Here is a 17,742-nt window from a genome sequence, read left to right as displayed (position 1 = left end):
AACTCCCAAATATTTGGTTTAGTGGTTTCAAAATGGGGTATTGGGACCTGTATGTTAAAAACGACCTGCAGTGATTCTGATACAGGAAATACATAGAACCATACTGGGAAAACTGCAGACTCCGTGTTTCTGAAATTGAGGGGTGTTGGTCGAATACTGCTCACCAGCTAATTTGTACTCAATGGCCATTGCAGCAAGTGCTCAGCCAGTGCTCAATGAACATCTGCATAAAACCTCTGAAGTCCCACCAGACAGGCCAAAAAGAGGCAGAAAAGCACCTGATCCTGAACTCAGGTCTATTTTGCCACACTGCACAAATCTGCCACAAGGAAAACACATTGGCCAACTGTTATATTATTGTTGGCAAGCACCAAAATTTGCTCAAAACCCTTACAAATGAAACCCAGCTGCTTAAGCTCAATACCAGATGTCTTCTACAATGTGTGGCTTTGATAGATTAAATTGAGCATAAGAAAGAGATGAAATATATGAAAATCTAATTTGCAAGATGTTTGTCATTAAGTTTATTTAACAAAAAAAGATAGAAAATTGTTTTTTTTACCATAATAGGTTAAGTAGAGTAGATTAATAATATTCATAATAGCTACTAATATTCCTATGTTATGAATAAACTGTTTGGTATATATGCATAAAATCAGCCCAAAAACGATCCCCCAGAAATTCCCCCATTGAAAGAATGTCATGTGCCTATAAAATCACATGATTTAGCACAAGGCTCTTTCTCCTTTAGACTCTTCCCCCAATTTGAACATCTTTTCACTCGGGGCACAGGAAATTAAGTAGGAAATATTTAGTGATACTGTCTGATTTCAATAAATTGTAATAATCCTATGAAAACACACACACACATATATATATAAGAAACATATGTGTGTGGATAAGTATAATGTGTCTAAGCAAGTGTGTGAAGAAAAAGGCAACTTAAGTGGCATCTACCCTTCTTCTATTAACATGTCACAATGGAACTCTTTTGTGATTATTGTTGTTGTTTTCCGGGTCACTGCACAGTTCTCAATAACTTCAGCTGAATTCAGAGGCTAAGTTAAATTCAGAAAAGCCACTCAACTATTCCCCCAAAGAGCTGGTGCACATTTCCTCACTCAAATCAGCCATTATTTCATGGATAAATACAGCATGTCATTCTTACAACATTAACTTTTTTATAAAGTAGGAACAGAAAAAGACTTGTTTTATAATGCAATTTGAAAACAACACATATTTGAGCATATCAACTCTAACCAAGACAAATATTCAGTTGAGATTCAGCGCCATAAAAAAGTGCATAATCATTAAAATTATACACAACTGCAAGCAACAAGTTTTTATTAATTTCTTCAGATCTGAAAAAAATAGTGATTTGAAATACTGATTTGAATTTTTCAGATTTGAAAAAATGTAGTTTTCTTTTAGAGAGAAAATAAAGGTAAACACTTTAGCAAAGACTTAGTTTGATAATGAATATTTCTATAAATGTAATAACAGAAAGATAATTTCATGTGGCGTTTCCAAAACAAACCTTGGCTTGGATTTTCTGAAGCTCCGTGCTATTGGCCTTGGCATAGCTTGTATTGAAGGTAGACAGAGATGGCCAGAAAAAATTTTAAGATGTCCTGTTACATTAAATTGACTCACACCTGGCTGTTATCTCATCAGTGCAGTTTCTACATCATGGAAGTGACACAATTGATTTTTTTAAGTAGTGTAAGTCACTATTTCCTTATATGTAAAACTCCCATTAAAACTGTGAAGACACCAATATGACTATGGGGACATTATGCAACACTGAACACTGTACGGCAGTAAAAAACTACGAACCAAAGACAATTTTCACCAGGTACTCATGAGGTTTTCAAAAGTAAATTTGAAATGTACATTAATTTTCCTCTGGACTCCAGAAGAAATCAGAAACATAGTTTCAGACATTAAGTTCCCAGAATCTGATTGAATGAACGATGTATAACACTAGCCTCAAACTCATGTCCTGTTCAGAAATCATAAATGCAAAATTTATGAGATGTTCTTTATGAGACATATAGTTTGCAACTACCATTTCAATAAAGGAGCGAAACTTACATATAACAATGTCCTAGAACTAAAGTCTGTCAAGTCACTACACTACTTGTTTCACACATTATTTCTGCCACCACGTTGACATCCCGAATTTCTATAGCATCTTTTTTTACAGAGTAAAAGATAGTCAGATCTACCTTCATTTACTCTTCAGATAATTCTGTAGGACCTATAGAAATACATCATCATTATTTTCGGTAGTAACATTTGCTGAATTCTGAAGTTCAAGTGAGAAATATTAAAGTGTTTTTTAAAATAATTTTCAAAACATTTAGTTGATAAATAACTCATTTGCTAGCCAATATCAATTCACTACAAACAAAAGAGTCCTGGAAGTATTTATATTGCTATCATAAGTGACAAGAGTAGCCATGTTAAAGGTTTTTGATTGTCAATATAATCCAAACCCTCTTCTAGAAAAACCAGACAATAATAGACACTGTGAGCAGGTGCAGTTTTTCTAGAAAAGGGTTTGGATTACACTGGCAATCAAAAACCTTTAACATGGCTAGTAGGTTACCTTTGATTATTCTAAGGGTCCGCAGCCAATCAAATTCTCCCTCCAAAGAAATTAAAAATAAAAGTGCAGCACTTTGGGAGGCCAAGGCGGGTGGATCACAAGATCAAGAGATTGAGACCAACCTGGCCAACATGGTGAAACCCCGTCTCTACTAAAAATACAACAAAAATAGCTGGGCGTGGTGGCGTGTGCCTGTAGTCCCAGCGACTCGGGAGGCTGAGGCAGGAGAATCACTTGAACTCGGGAGGCGGAGGTTGCAGTGAGCCAAGATCACACCACTGCACTCCAGCCTGGTGACAGAGTGAGATTCTGTCTCAAAAAAAAAAAGTGAAACATCTGTCAGTTAACTCTGCAGAGCTAAGCAAAATGGTCTTGGAACATTAGGGACTGCAGCCACCATTTTGAGTCAAGCAAGAAACTATAAGTATGTCCAGGGACATAGATTCCTCTATACACCAAGCCTGTGCTATACACTCAAGACACAACAATAAATAAAATGGACAGAGTTTGTTCTTCTGAGAAGCTTAGCTTCCAGCAGGAGAGTGACATGTATAATGATAAATTATGATATGTACCATAAAGGAAAAATAAAACACAATGAGGGATTATATCAAAGGGGTTTCATTTAATTTAGATTGTTAAGGAAAACTTAACTAAATGGCACTTATGCAAATGCATGGATAAACAGAGTAGAAAGGCAAAGAACTTTCCAGACTGTGAAAACAGTATATGTGAAGTACCTGAGTGAGAAAAAGGTTGGATCATTTTTGTCTTGTTTTGTTTTGTTTTGTTTGTTTTCAGGCCTATATGGCTGATGCTCAGTAAGCAGTGAGATGAGCTGCAAGATGAGTCAGGAGCCAGCTGATATCAGACCTTTGCAGGACACAGAAAGATCTGGATTTTATCCTAAATACAAGGAGCGTCCATTAAAGAATTTTAAACAAAAAGAAAAGAAGGGAGCAGACGCACACAGCGAGAGTGGAACGTGCACAAGGCCCTCAGAGAGAGACAGACATAGACAAGGAGATGTTCCGGTCCTCCTGGCCTGCTGGGTCCCATGAGGCCTGTGTTTCCTTTAGTTTTTCTTTATGTCTCCATTAAACTTCTTTCTCTACTTAAGATTCTGTTCTTTATAACCAAAATATCAATACTATGATTTTATATAGTTAACTAATCATCAAAAGAATGTAACAGAGATAGTATCAAGCAGAGTAATCAGTTAATCCGGAAAGATATTTTCCAAGTTAAAAGAAACATGGAGAGGTCTAGAGTAAAAATAGAGTGCAAAGTCACAAGATCATCCTTATGTATTTTACTATTCACTTTTCCAAACCAACAAATATATATTAATATAGACAAAGTCTCTATTTTACAGATAACAAGTATAATAATCAAGACCAAAAGAGGCCATCTGGACCTAAAATGCAGCATAAGAAAGCTTCACAGAAAACTTAGCTGATTAAGATAATTGTTCTATAATTAGTTGTCAATATTTTCTCTTATTTGAGGATTTGTTCAAATTCTTATATGAATTCTAAAAATAGATATGCATTTGAAAAGTTGGGGGAAGAATTCATAGATTTATTCCTGGCAATTCTAAATCAATAAAAGATTTGTACAATGTTCTAAATCAATAAAATATCTGTCCAATGTTATTTCAGATTCAGTTGGCTTACAGAGAAAAAAGAAACTAATTTGAGTTATTTTGCTGTTCCAATGTTTTTTCAAAAGCCTTCATATATTTGTAATTTACAAGTTTGAATTATACTATGTACAGACATTTATACACAGATAAGACTTGCATACGGTTGCTAGCATTTTGAAAATAATAAAAAAAGGTGAAACCAAATAATTTCAGTCTGTACTTGGCAATTACGTGAAATTACTATCCAATCTAATGAGCAGAACTTAAGTTGAAAACTATAGTTTAGCCATTTTCTTCCCAGGTAAATTACCAGAGATCAAATTTCTTACATCTGTGATGCTCACCACAACTTGCAGTTACTGCCGATTAATAGCCTGAGATTAAGAAATGCCACAAAATAGCTGTAGTAGAAAACATTTTAAACACATAACCACATTTATGCATTTAACAGCTGTGTTGGTCTAACAGTTCAGATTTTCAGTATATTTTGCCATATGGTAATAAGGATCATTTTTCACTTAAAATATTACCAAAAACTGATGCCGCATAGCAATATTATCATTCTAATTGTGAAACTACCTATTCACAGCCATGTTTGTTATCCTCCTCTTACTGGATTCCCTATTTGCCCTGATTATACTAAAAAAAAATGTATAACCTATTTTTTGAATTTTAAATTAGTGTCAACTAGGCCAGACATAAATATGACAATAGGAAACCTATGGAATATGGCCTGGCAACGGAGAGGTGGTACATAAAATCCAGGTTATATAAAACTGTACAGACCATGGAGACTTGGGTCTGGTTTTGATCACTGGGTTTGAGGATTTTCCTGTATTCACAAGGGAGTGGATTTCTACTTCCTATCTCACCTTGTTTTCCTGTAAGTATCTTTATTGATGTAGAATTGCTCCTAAAATAAATGTGGCTGCCAAGTTTTATTTAATCTGATTGCTTTAATAGCCTATTAGCATTATTTTATAGGGGAAAAATTATAGACATTTTCACATGTACATTTAACAGGGAACCAATGAAAATTTCACCATCTTAAATGTGGGAACATGAGGCCTATCCTCGTCAGGACGGGTACATTGTTGCCACCATTGTGTTAGAACAACAAACCCAGAGTCCTTTAGTTTTTAGGTCTGTCAGTCTACCATCTTTATAACTTTACTAAATTCTCTTAACAGAATTTAAGAAGAATGGTAGTGAACAAAATGATGTTTTAATACTGTTTATGCATTGCACTATATTCAATATTTTAGTACTGTTTACACATTGCACTATATTCATTATGACTGCCTGTGAGTCTCTACTATGTTTGGAGAATAAAGGGGTAGGATAGTACAAGTAGCTCAATCTAAACATAATCCATTTCAAGTAGAAATTAACACTACAGATTTTGACCATTACAGGTCACATTTTCACTATTAGGAAGGCAATTCCCCATTTCCCTAGATTTAAAAATATGTTTCTGAAGCAATCACAATATTCCAGTATTTAAAAAACTTGAAGTTCAAGACCTCTACCAAGATGTACTCATGCCTCCTTTTTCAAAGCCTGTATCTCTTTCTAGTAAAACATTTAAGGTAATAGCTAGGCAGTGGTAAGATTTAGGTTGATGAGTCACCATATACATAGGCCACCCTTGCTTCTATCCCAAGTAGGAAGAGTTCTTCTTTCCACTTATTGTGACTTTGCAGAGCTTTGTGCCACTTGAGGTGGAAGTGCAATATTACACATATTCCTTCATATAAATCTTTTAGGTTTCCATATATTTAACAAAATATTTTTATGCACCTGATGCTCACATTCTCCAAATGTCTCAAGTCGTCATTTTGAAAGACATTTATTTTAAATATGGATGTAAGATCTCAGAATATTAATCTCGGCTTTGTCACTCATTTGAAAGTCATGAACACATCATTTATCAGTGTTTCGTATTTTCCTTTTCTGTGATCATTATTCTCACTGAAGTAGACGCAGAATTAATAATTGTAAAGGATGTTAGATGTTGTCAAGGAATATTTAACTTAATAGTCTAAGTGGCTTAATTTCTGTTAATCTCATAGTCCTTCTCTGTTTATAGCACATTCTGTATTTATCAGGGCAAAAATAAAATAAAATAAACAACCTCAAGTGTACTTTATAGAAAGTTACGGAGAGTAATTCCTCAACAAAAAAAGTCAATTGGTGACAAAGCTGGGAAAATCAATTGGGATTCAACATGTTCATCACACTAAGATGACCTGTTGGATGTTCACAGTCCTATCTCAATGTACATTTCTAGCTTGGTTGCCTCCTATTTTTGCATAAATTAATTATTAATAATGATACTAACAACAGCAAACTTTCAGGTAATATTATGTGCCAGACACTATTCTAAGTGCTTATGTATACTTACTCATTTAATAGTCAAATTGATAGTAAATATAATTATTATCCCTATTTTACAGTTGTGAAAATTGAGACAACAATAAGATAATTCATTTGAGTTCATACAACTAGTGAGTGGCAGAGCTAAGATTAAAAACCAGGCATTCTGGGTCCAGAATTTGTACTCTTAGCCACTATGATAGTATGATATAAGATAAATTAAGTACAGGCACATCACACACACACACACACACACACACACACACACACACACACAAGTGCCCTGCAAAGGGAGCTTTTTAAAAAGGTTCCCTACACCTATATGACCTAGAGGAAGACAAAGAATGTCTCTGGATGTCAACTTCCTCACTGGAAGAAATAAGACATTAAGACATTATTTTATACCACATTATGTTAAGGGACATTCTAAGGTTAGCATTTTATGATTCAAAGATTCTGTCTGTAGCATATGGCCTCTTTGCTTTTTATTGGCATAACTCAATACTAAAGCCAAGTATTCGTGTATTTCAAAGAAAATGCTAAAAGAGAATAAAAAATGACTCTCAGGCAATGAAGAGGCAGTAGTAGCTAGAATAGAGGAATGAGAATTTTACCTCACATATATCATGCTTCGAGCTTCCTGGAACATTCTTAAGACACAGTTTCCCTGAAGTTTTTCTATTCTCCCTACAACAATTTTTAGAGACTAAACTAGCAAACTAGGTTGATGAAATACCTATCATTCCTTCATATCAACACACAAAAATTAAACTTATGTATACGGTATAAGTAAAAATACATTTATATATACAGAAATTAAAAACTTTTTCCGTAGGGCCAAGCCACAGAACATAGTATCTTAATAGTGTCACAGAATACTTTGAGATTATGAAAATCTGAATGCTGTAAATCCCAATCAAAATTACACACTCTTCTGATAAACAGTACAGCCAAGTTAGTTCTATAATATGCATCCACAAGTACATAAAGCTGAACTTTAAATACATTTCAATCTCATACATATTCCCTTTATCATTTGGCTTAATTTTATAAAGCCATTATTTCCTTATTTCCAACTCTATAACTCCCTCTTTGCAATCACTGCCACGGCCAGTTATATTCAGTTCATTAGCTTTTTTCTCATTTGAAAATAGCTCAACCACTCTTAAAATTACTGTTTAATTCAAAAATTTTAAATAAGCTTTAACATTTTCTATATTTTAGTCAACTTCATAAAATAATAATTCTTCTGAACAAAATTATCACAAAGCAAGCCCCTGTTCTTAAAGGTGAATAAACATTTGACATAGTCACAAACTATAATTATTTCCATTGCAAAATTACAGATTTACTCAATGCATCCATATAAAAATGATGATGAACTTCAAAGAAAACTAGCTAACCTATAAAAATCTAACAGTATTCAAGCTAAAATAATCAGAAAAAAGTTTGTTAGAATAGCTGTTTTCTTAAATTCTTCACATATAAACTGTCACAGTATATTGAGAATGAATTTCCTAAAGTTCCAAGTTTAATTGTATTTAATTCTCAATTGTTAGAGAAAATAGAAATGTTAAGTCTCTTTAAAATTATTCTAACAGAGTACTTAGAAAGCCTTGCCATAATAGAGAAAGTAGTAAAATTACAGGGCAGTTGGAGAATGGGGGATGGAACTTTATAGACATTGAACTTCTGGCCTGAACTTTCCCTTCTGCGATAAAAGCCACGAAATCAGACTCTAACTCAGCCCCATCAGCACTGTAGTGGAGGGCACTGATCTTCTTACCCCTTGTGTGCATAGAGAGAAGAATGAGCAAGAAAATGTGAAGCTGCCAGTTTAGTTCTTCCAGCCAACCCATTGCAGCAGCAGAGCAGTCAATGTGCCCTGCCTGTTTAAGCCTCCTGTTTCTTGCCTTTCCGTCTTTCACTGAGACGCCTCTGCTGCCACTCTTGTCAGATCTTCTCGCAAGCCTGCCAGCAACCCTGAGACAGGACCGTGAAAGACAAGCCTGTTACAAACTGGTTCTGTCACCACAGAGACTTCAACTGATCACCTCGTGGGGAGGACAACAAAGGGCGGTGAGGACCCTGAGCCGGATTGTTTTCTTAAGAAAGGAGCCTGACCCAGCTGCCCACACAAGGGCTAGCACACGCCGGGGCTTCACTCTGCGCTGGCAATACCCATGTCCCCCAAATCTCTCGGGCAGCTATGAAGGGAATCCATAGCAAACCTCATTTAAAACGCTGCTGTCATAAAATAGTTTGTTTCTTTTACCAACATTTTTATCTCTGCTAAGAATTTTAACTGAGAAATGTAAAAAGAAAACAAGAAATAATGTTTTTACTTAGTGAAATGCCAAAAATAGTGCAACAGATCAAAGTATTGTGTTACAGTAGTTTACTCACACTACGTCACCAGATAAATAATGAAGTGAATACCCTTGAATCAAGTGCACAGATATGAAAAGGGTCACATATAAAAGAAATCTCTAATGAATACTGCAAGTTAAGATACTTCAGTTATGACTATAGTTTTAAGAGCTGTTAACCTAACTGACTATTATATAAATAAAACCATTGCAAGTTTTTCCACTTTTTAGATTTTAACTGTAATTGTTTCTCAATGTAAATTATGACCATTTTTGTGACGTTTCATTTGCCATGATATTGAATGAGATAAAGAAATTTTTTCAAAATTGTTTTTGTTTTACTCTAAGAACTGTTAATAATAAAAGAACACCAAGAAAGATAAATGAATTGTCAGTATATGTAGAAACTACAATGCTACCATAGACAAATACAAAAAGACGTCATTATTAAATCCCATCAGTTTGTCTGATAAAGGATTTATGAGTAGAGTAGCAAATGTATTACAATGTTTATATCTAAGATATCATCATCATATGTTTACTTGATATTTTAAAAAATCTTTTCTTGGAAAAAGAATCTCTGCTTTCTTCTCACTTTCAAAAGACATCCCTCATTTGCCCCTACTCCTGACCCCATCCTGCACCTCCCAGCACTATTCCTCTAGGTACCATTCAAATCTACCCTCTAGCTTAGGAAACCCAACAATGTTTTTTTTGTTTTGATAATTTTACACATACTACAATCAATCAACACCCTCAATTTATACTTTCCTAAGTACTTTCATGAAATTTAAGCAAAATACAGAATTTTAACCATGTAGGAAACCTTAAACTACTCTAAGTTTACTAAACTACACATTCTGCATTTCACAGAAGCCATGCATCTTACTCGTCAGAAACATGGAGGTTGGTGGTAATTAAAAAGAACTGTCTTTGAGTAATATTTATCCATATCCCTTTTAGTTAGGAAAAGAGATTGGTATATAGTAAAATGAGTAAGGATGATCAGGAGCAGAGGGTTATGTGGGAAAAACAGACAAAAATCAAGCAATAGAATCTGCTTTTTAAACCTTCTATGTTGGGCTCAGAGCCACATTCACAACATGGTTCCACTGCCAATTTGGAATCCAGCCTTGAGCTCTGGGGCAAGAAGTGAATAGCTGAAATGTGGGACAGCTCCCACTGCTCACATTTCCCCAATATGGGCTTCTATAAATGGCTGAAAGTTAAAGACAGAATCTCTGCTCTCTCCCCAGAATCCTAATTCAGTTCAAAAGAACTCATATCAGCAACCATTTCTGATTTTGAACTATGTGCAAGCTGATTTGGTTCCTCAAGAAGGTTATAACACCACAGAATAAGTATATAAGAAATAATTAAGAAAAAATGTAAGACATTTTAAGATGAAGTGGCCCCAACAGAATAAACATGGAAATTCCAAGCAGACGATGGAACAGACTGGGCCCAGATTGCAGGGAGAGCTGGATGCTGAAAGACGAATTGAACTTATACAGCAATACAGAAGTTGAGAGGAAAGAAATTATATGAGCAAGGCTTACAGGTAGAAATGAATTTTCAATTTGTGCAACAGCATGAGTACAATCTTACTGGAACAGACAGCTCCTATTAGTAAGTGGTTGGAAAGAAAGCTAGACAGAGTGGAACCAAATTGTGCAGGACTCTGAATATAGGTTACAGAGTTTGGAATATATGAACTGCAAAAAAAAAAAAAAAAAAAAAAAAAAAAAAAAAAAAAAAAAAAAAAAAAAACTTTTATGCTGGGCACATTGGCTCGTACCTGTAATCCCAGCTACTTGGCAGGCTGAGGCAGGAGGATCACCTAAGGCCAGGAGTTCAATCCAGCCTGAGCAACATAGCAAGACCCTGTCTCTAAAATAATTTTTTTTAATTAGCTGGGTATGGTGGTTCACACCTGTACTCCCAATTATTGGGGAAGCTAAGATAGGAGGATTTTTTTAGGCCAGGAGTTCCAGCCTGCAGTGAGCTATGATCACACCACTGCAATCATGCCTGGGTGACAGAGCAAGACCCCATCTCCAAAAAGACTTCTGGACTTCAGCATGTAGGATGAATCTCTGAACCTCACCTTCCAACTAGGTGAGGGAGAGTGAAAACGAGATTAAACATGTGAGGAGAGGTTTCCACTTAGTCAAACTTCTTGCTAATGCCTATTTCTTTCATTTAGCAATATTTTAAAAAATCAAGACGTATCCCTGTTAATTTCCTCCATTTTAAATTTAATTATTAACATATGCTAGGTGCCAACAATGAAGGGGATCTTCTATAAATGGCATATTAGGCCCCTGACTACTTGGTTCAAAAAATCTCATGAAACTTACTATGTAGATCAAAAGTCTAATTTAGCAGAACCACCCAGATTTGCCTATGATTTAACCCTCTCACCCTAATGTACATATTTTTATCTACAGTTTACATTTTAATTTCCAATATCCAATCTAATTAAGCCTCTATCTGTACCAGGTCAAGAACTGGTTTCACAATTCCACAAGCAAAACACAAATAATCGCATTAAAAAGTGGGCAAACAACAGGAACAGACGCTTCTCAAAAGAAGACATACAAAAGGCCAAGAAACACATGAAAAGAATGTTCAACATCACTATCAGAGAAATGCAAATCAAAACCATAGTGAAATACCATCTTACACCAGTCAGAAAGGCTATTACTAAAAAGTCAAAAATCCACAAATGCTGGCAAGGCTGTGGAGAAAAGGGAATGCTTATACATTGCTTGTGGGAATATAAATTAGTTCAGCCACTGTGGAAAGCAGTTTGGAGATTTCTCAAACAAGTTAAAACAGTACTACCAACTACCATTCTACCCAGTAAAGCCATTACTGGGTATATATCCAAAAGAAAATAAATCATTCTACCAAAAAGACATGGGCACTTATATGTTCATCGCAGCACTATTGACAGTAGAAAAGATATGAAATCAACTGAGGTACACATCAGCAGTAGACTGGATAAAGAAAATATGGTACATATACACCATGGAATACTACAGTGTAATAAAAAAGAATGAAACCATAGCAACATTGATGCAGCTGGAGGGCATTATCCTAAGCAGATTAACACAGGAACAGATGTATCCCTATTATTGCATGTTCTCACTTAAAAGTGGGAACTTAACATTAGGTACACATGGACATAAAGATGGCAACAACAGACACTGGGGCCTACTGGAGTGGGGAAGGAGACACGCAGGCTCCCAAGGGTTGAAAAACTACTGGGTACTATGCTCACTACCAGGGTGACTGGATCAATTGTACCCCAAACCTCAGCAACACACAATATGCCCATGTAACAAACCTGCATGTGTGCCCTCTGAATCTAAAATAAAAGTTGAAATTATTTTTAAAATAAAGATTTAGTAACTGGATAACCAAGTAAATCAATGGTAGAATGGGAAAAATCTCCCTTTCAGAAGAATTCAAAAAATTTATATATTTAGATAGTCTCGCTCCATGAAGCAGAGCTTAATCAACCCCACCCTTGACTCTAAGCTGTGCTTAGTGACTTGCTTCCAAGGAGTACAGTATGAAAAGGAATATAACTTTACACTGGAATAACTGGCAAACACTCCCTTGGGCAGGTGATTGAGGTTAACATGACTGAAGACAAGCCATGCTGATAGCAGGTACCCCTGATATGATGAGAATGGCACTTCACCTCTGTGGTCTACCTCCTCAACACCCCAGTCTATGAGAAATACATCAGGCCAACTCCATTTCAGAAATATTCAATAAAATATCTGATCATCACTGCTTAAAACTATCAAGGAAAGTGTAAAAAAAGAGTTAAAAACCAACAGAGACTAAGATGACATGATGACTAAGTGCAAAGTGGTTTTCTAGATGGAATCCTTGAACAGAAAAAAATGGCATTATGGAAAGGGAGAGAGGAAACAAATCTGAATAAAGTTTGGAGCTTGGTTGCTGGTAATATACCATTGTTCCTTTCTTAGCTGTGACACATATACAGCCCCAAAGTAAGGTCAAATGTTAATAGCAGGGGAAACTGGGTGAAGGGTATATGAGGACTCTATATTACCTTTGGAAATTTTCTAAATCAATTATAAAATAAAAAGTTTATTTTAAAAAATGAGTTTCATAGCAGTTAAACATTCACTCCCAAATCTCCTAACTACAGAGTTGACTGCAGAGAAGGAACCAATGTGCCAAATGGTTATACACCTGCTTGTGCAGCTTTCATCACAGGTTCACTTAACTGCTCCAATAGATTCTATTTCAATTACATCTTTACCTACAAGAAGAAATATCAGAAAGGAGAATAACAATGGTTTATGTCTGAGGCGTTCTTCTTCTACTGAGATAGCCAACTTAATTTTGCAAGTTAATTTATATACCAAAGGAGTCTTCAAAGAAAGTTCTGAGAGAAGATTAAAAGAAAGGTCTCCATTTGAAAATGTACACCTGACAGAAGGGCAGAGGAAGGAAAAAGGAGCACTATGGAGAGTACTACTAATATGTGTAGGATATGTCATCACTGTATGTCATTTGCAGAGTTCTTACTAATGACATTCACACATTCTAGATTTACGGAGTCTTTGCTGTACAGTAGAAAGGGCCTATTTGTGCTATGTGTATAATCTGGGGCAGATTATTTAAACTCTCTGTTTGCTCATTACCTAACTGTTAAATTGTTATATGCACTAAATAAATGAAGGAATATAGACTACTGAATACAGTGCCCAGAATATAGGAAAATATCAGAAAATGTCAGTAATTTCCTGACAACTCTCACTAATCTCTCTCCTGCCTCTCACATGAAAAGCTTTGCCAATAAAAATAATGTTCTTTAATATAACAGGCTACAATGTAACATTTATCAAGTTGTTCCTGTCACAAACAGTGTGATCATTAAAACAAGGATACAAAGTATCTCTTAAGTCAAGATTTTAAAAATTCAATTAAAGCCGGACACAGTGGTTTGTACTTGGCTATAGTCCCAGTTATTAGGGAGGGTGAGGCAAGAGGGCTGCTTGATTGAGCCCAGGGGTTCGAGACTAGCCTGGGCAATACAGCAAGACCTCACCTCAAAAAAAAAGTCAAATTATACCTGAAAAACTAAATATTTATTCAAATCAATTCATTTTCATTTAATTCATTAAATATTCATGCATTTGAAGTAGAAGTATACTGAAGAATTTTAAATTGAGACTACCTTGCTACCAATTTCAATTTGTGATTCATTTTCACACAGAAACTCCCCAAATCTCCTGATCTTATGTTTATATACAGTTTTTATCTAAAAAACATTCACTATTTGCTATATTTGGGGGGATCGTGTCTACTGAATGGATGTGAGAACATTAAAAAGAGACAGCACTTGCCTTCAGGACAAAGCTTATCCTCTAGTGGGTGAAGACAAACATACAATCCAGTAATGACAATGCAGTACAGTAACTGCCTGCTATGCTGAGGAAACATGGAAAAAACAGTGAATAAACAAAGATTAATTCTGCCTGAGGGTGAGGGTTGGACTTGCGTGGGGGAGGCATTTGAACTGGGTCTTCAAAGATAAGTAGGAATTCACTGGGTGAAGGGAAGGCAAAGGAATCCTAAGCAAAGAGAACAGGCAGTACAGTACATTTATGAGTAAGAAAAAAAGTAGTGCTTGCAGAGAACACGAGAAGCTCGATATGCCTAGAGAGCAGGGGAATTAGGCTGGAAAAGTAGACTGGGGAGGTTAGGAAGAGCCTTGTAGCCCATAATTAGAAGTTTTGATTTTATCCTACACACATGGGAAGCAATGTCTTCATTTCTGGAGGTAAGCACAGGTTACTTTCCATTGTGCAAACTGACAGCTACTACTTCTTGCAGCTCATTATATTTCAAGGGAAACTAATAAAGTTTTGGAGATAAGATGAAAAATATTTTCCTTTGTATCTAAGAAAACATAATAATATATTTGTTATTCTTAATGAGAACAATAAGGTGAGTGTTATTTTCTTTACCATGTAAACATCCCTGCTAATACTGTTTGGAATAAAATTTACTTTTTAATTAAACTTCTGTTCCAACACACAGGCACATTAATAACAACAGTTATTGCCTTCTTCCAATTGGAAGCCACAGCCTTTTAGGTCCTACCAAGAGCTTTGCACTAAAATGTTTTTCAAACTTTCATACATGTTGTACCAAAAACAAAAGTGCCCTCAGAACTGCACTGGTATTTGGTTTTATTATTCTGGCTTTTAACTAAACACTTACATACTATCATAAAAAACTACTCCACTATGAGAAAAAAAAACTAACAATAGAGCCCACAGTACAAAAACTTTTTTCCTGACTTTGGAGTTTATAAAGACCACAACTTCAGCCCTCTTTCAGGCTGCCTCCTGCCTCCCCACCCCGTTCTAATTTGCAGCATTCCACATCACTAGTCATTAACAACCCAAAGCTCCCTTCAGCTGCAGAGTGAAAGACCATCACATTATTACAAATAAACAATCCCTTTCTCCCTTGAACGAGCGACACATTATTCTGAGCACGTCTTCTCTCTGCTTTCATTGCTCTGCCAAGGTCCTCCATGAGTGGGAAGGGGTAAAAAGAGAGAAAAAATATCCCACAACTTGTCTAAAGCATGTAGAGGAGGATTTGTGTTCTTACTTACGGGATATGACTGTCACTGTTGATCTGCTTTCAGGCCTAGATTACATGTGATAAGGGCTGACCTTCTTTAAGTATTCACACATTATGCACTCATGGAGAGCAGGCAGGACACAAAAGTCCTTCAGATGTTCTGGGCATCAATCAAGTGCACAGCATGGAGCCTGCCAAACTTTTCTTCCATTTACTCAGGGAGAGGAAGGGGGAGTCCAAGACAGACTTAATAAAGTTTAAAGCTATGCCACAATATATTTGGGGAGACCATTGTTATTAAAAGGGTGCTGTTTCAAAAAATTCTCTATAGTTACCACTGGCAACAAAAACAATTCGCATACAAATATAAAGAGACAACCAGATTTCATTCCAGCTTTAAAATTTCAAAACTTTTGTTATAAACCAGGTCTCAATGGCTTTAGCAGATTCCTATTTTCTTTCCTGAAGACATTTTATTAAGTATATATTTCAAAAACCAAAAATATAAATTTTCTTTTATAACAATCATACTCAAAACATATTTTAAGTCATTTATAAAATAGAGGACATACATTTGTTACAAAATTGAGCATAGCTAAATAAACTGAAGACAAGTCAACAACACAAACCATTTTTCACCTAATACAAATACTGTCATTACTAGCAAGAGCTCCAATATTATAGTGTAGATATGATGATATCTTCTGATACAGGCTTCTAATGTTTGTGTTTTATTGTTGCCCCTCCCCACAGCTCATTCCAGGAATTTGAGGTAGCTTTCGAAAAAGAAAAAATAAGCCCCAAACTGTGTTCTCTTAAAATATTGCAACACTCCATACTTGGAGGGCATCATTTCAGCATCAGCACAATCAAATCCATCAGACAAAGATGCTTCATGGAATTTGATGATAGAATGATACCTTAAATCTACTACAATATCATTTACCTAGAGATCACAAAATTCTTTTTAAAAGCTAATGTCATGTTATGAATATAATAATTATATGCATGGCCTGTGCACAAAATAAGAAGATTAGACACAAAGGTTTACAAAACAATTCATGAGACAACAAGGCAATGAACATTAAAAGAGTAGGAAGAGAATTCAAGGTAACTTACATGATTAAACTACCAAAGAAAATTAACTTAGTAAATTTGCTAATTAAAACAACAGCAACAAACCCTCCAGATTGCCTCTATATATGCATGATTCTTGCATGGATCTTTAGTTTATTATTTGGTTTTAGCGGTATGCTACTAAAAGACCATGAGGTCAGACTTGCACCCTAGTAACAGGGAACTAGGTGATAGATAAACTGTGAGGTAATTCTTTTTTTTTTTTTTTTTTTTTTTTTTTTTTGAGACGGAGTCTCGCTCTGTCGCCCAGGCCGGACTGCGGACTGCAGTGGCGCAATCTCGGCTCACTGCAAGCTCCGCTTCCCGGGTTCACGCCATTCTCCTGCCTCAGCCTCCCGAGTAGCTGGGACTACAGGCGCCCGCCACCGCGCCCGGCTAATTTTTTGTATTTTTAGTAGAGACGGGGTTTCACCTTGTTAGCCAGGATGGTCTCGATCTCCTGACCTCATGATCCACCCGCCTCGGCCTCCCAAAGTGCTGGGATTACAGGCGTGAGCCACCGCGCCCGGCCGAGGTAATTCTTTATGTTAATCATTACAGAGTAAACCATCACCTGGAAAATATGACTATCTCAGGCAAGAAACTGAACCAGAATGAGAGGAAGATGTCTTGGCAGGAGATGGAAAGCAAGAAACTCAGGCAAGGCGAGTGTAGTTATTTCCAGATAGAACATAGAATGATGACAGCTAGGATCATGATGACAACAATGATAATGATCATGATACATACTATTTGGCCATCTTTTACTGTTTGTGAGGCACTACGTGTGTACTTAACATACAGGTTTAAGCATCCCTTATTTAAAATGCTTGGGGCCAGAACTGCTTTGGATTTCAAAGATTTTTGCATTTTGGAATTTTTACATAAACATAAGATATCTTGGGGATGGGACCCAAGGGTAAACATGAAATTCATTTATGTTTCACATGCACCTTATAGACATAGTCTGAAGGTAA

General features: G+C 35.9%; 1 protein-coding gene across 10 annotated transcripts in view; it reads right to left on the bottom strand.

The window, feature by feature from the left end:
* BMPR1B (bone morphogenetic protein receptor type 1B) overlaps window positions 1–17,742 on the bottom strand; it is a 400,496-nt gene that overhangs the window by 98,260 nt on the left and 284,494 nt on the right. Inside the window, exon 1 of one of the 10 annotated variants that reach the window (NM_001256793.2) lies at window positions 8,419–8,514. The exons of the other annotated variants lie outside the window; for them this stretch is intronic. Within the exon in view, the coding sequence (NP_001243722.1) occupies window positions 8,419–8,491 (73 nt within the window). The 5' untranslated portion in view covers window positions 8,492–8,514. Of the gene's footprint in view, window positions 1–8,418; window positions 8,515–17,742 lie in introns of those variants that run through there. 10 annotated transcript variants of the gene reach the window in all.

The sequence above is a fragment of the Homo sapiens genome, chromosome 4, assembly GCF_000001405.40.
Source record: "Homo sapiens chromosome 4, GRCh38.p14 Primary Assembly".
Lineage (NCBI taxonomy): Eukaryota > Metazoa > Chordata > Mammalia > Primates > Hominidae > Homo > Homo sapiens.
The sequence above is the reverse complement of the archived record's forward strand: the minus strand, read 5'-3'. Positions and strand labels throughout refer to the sequence as shown.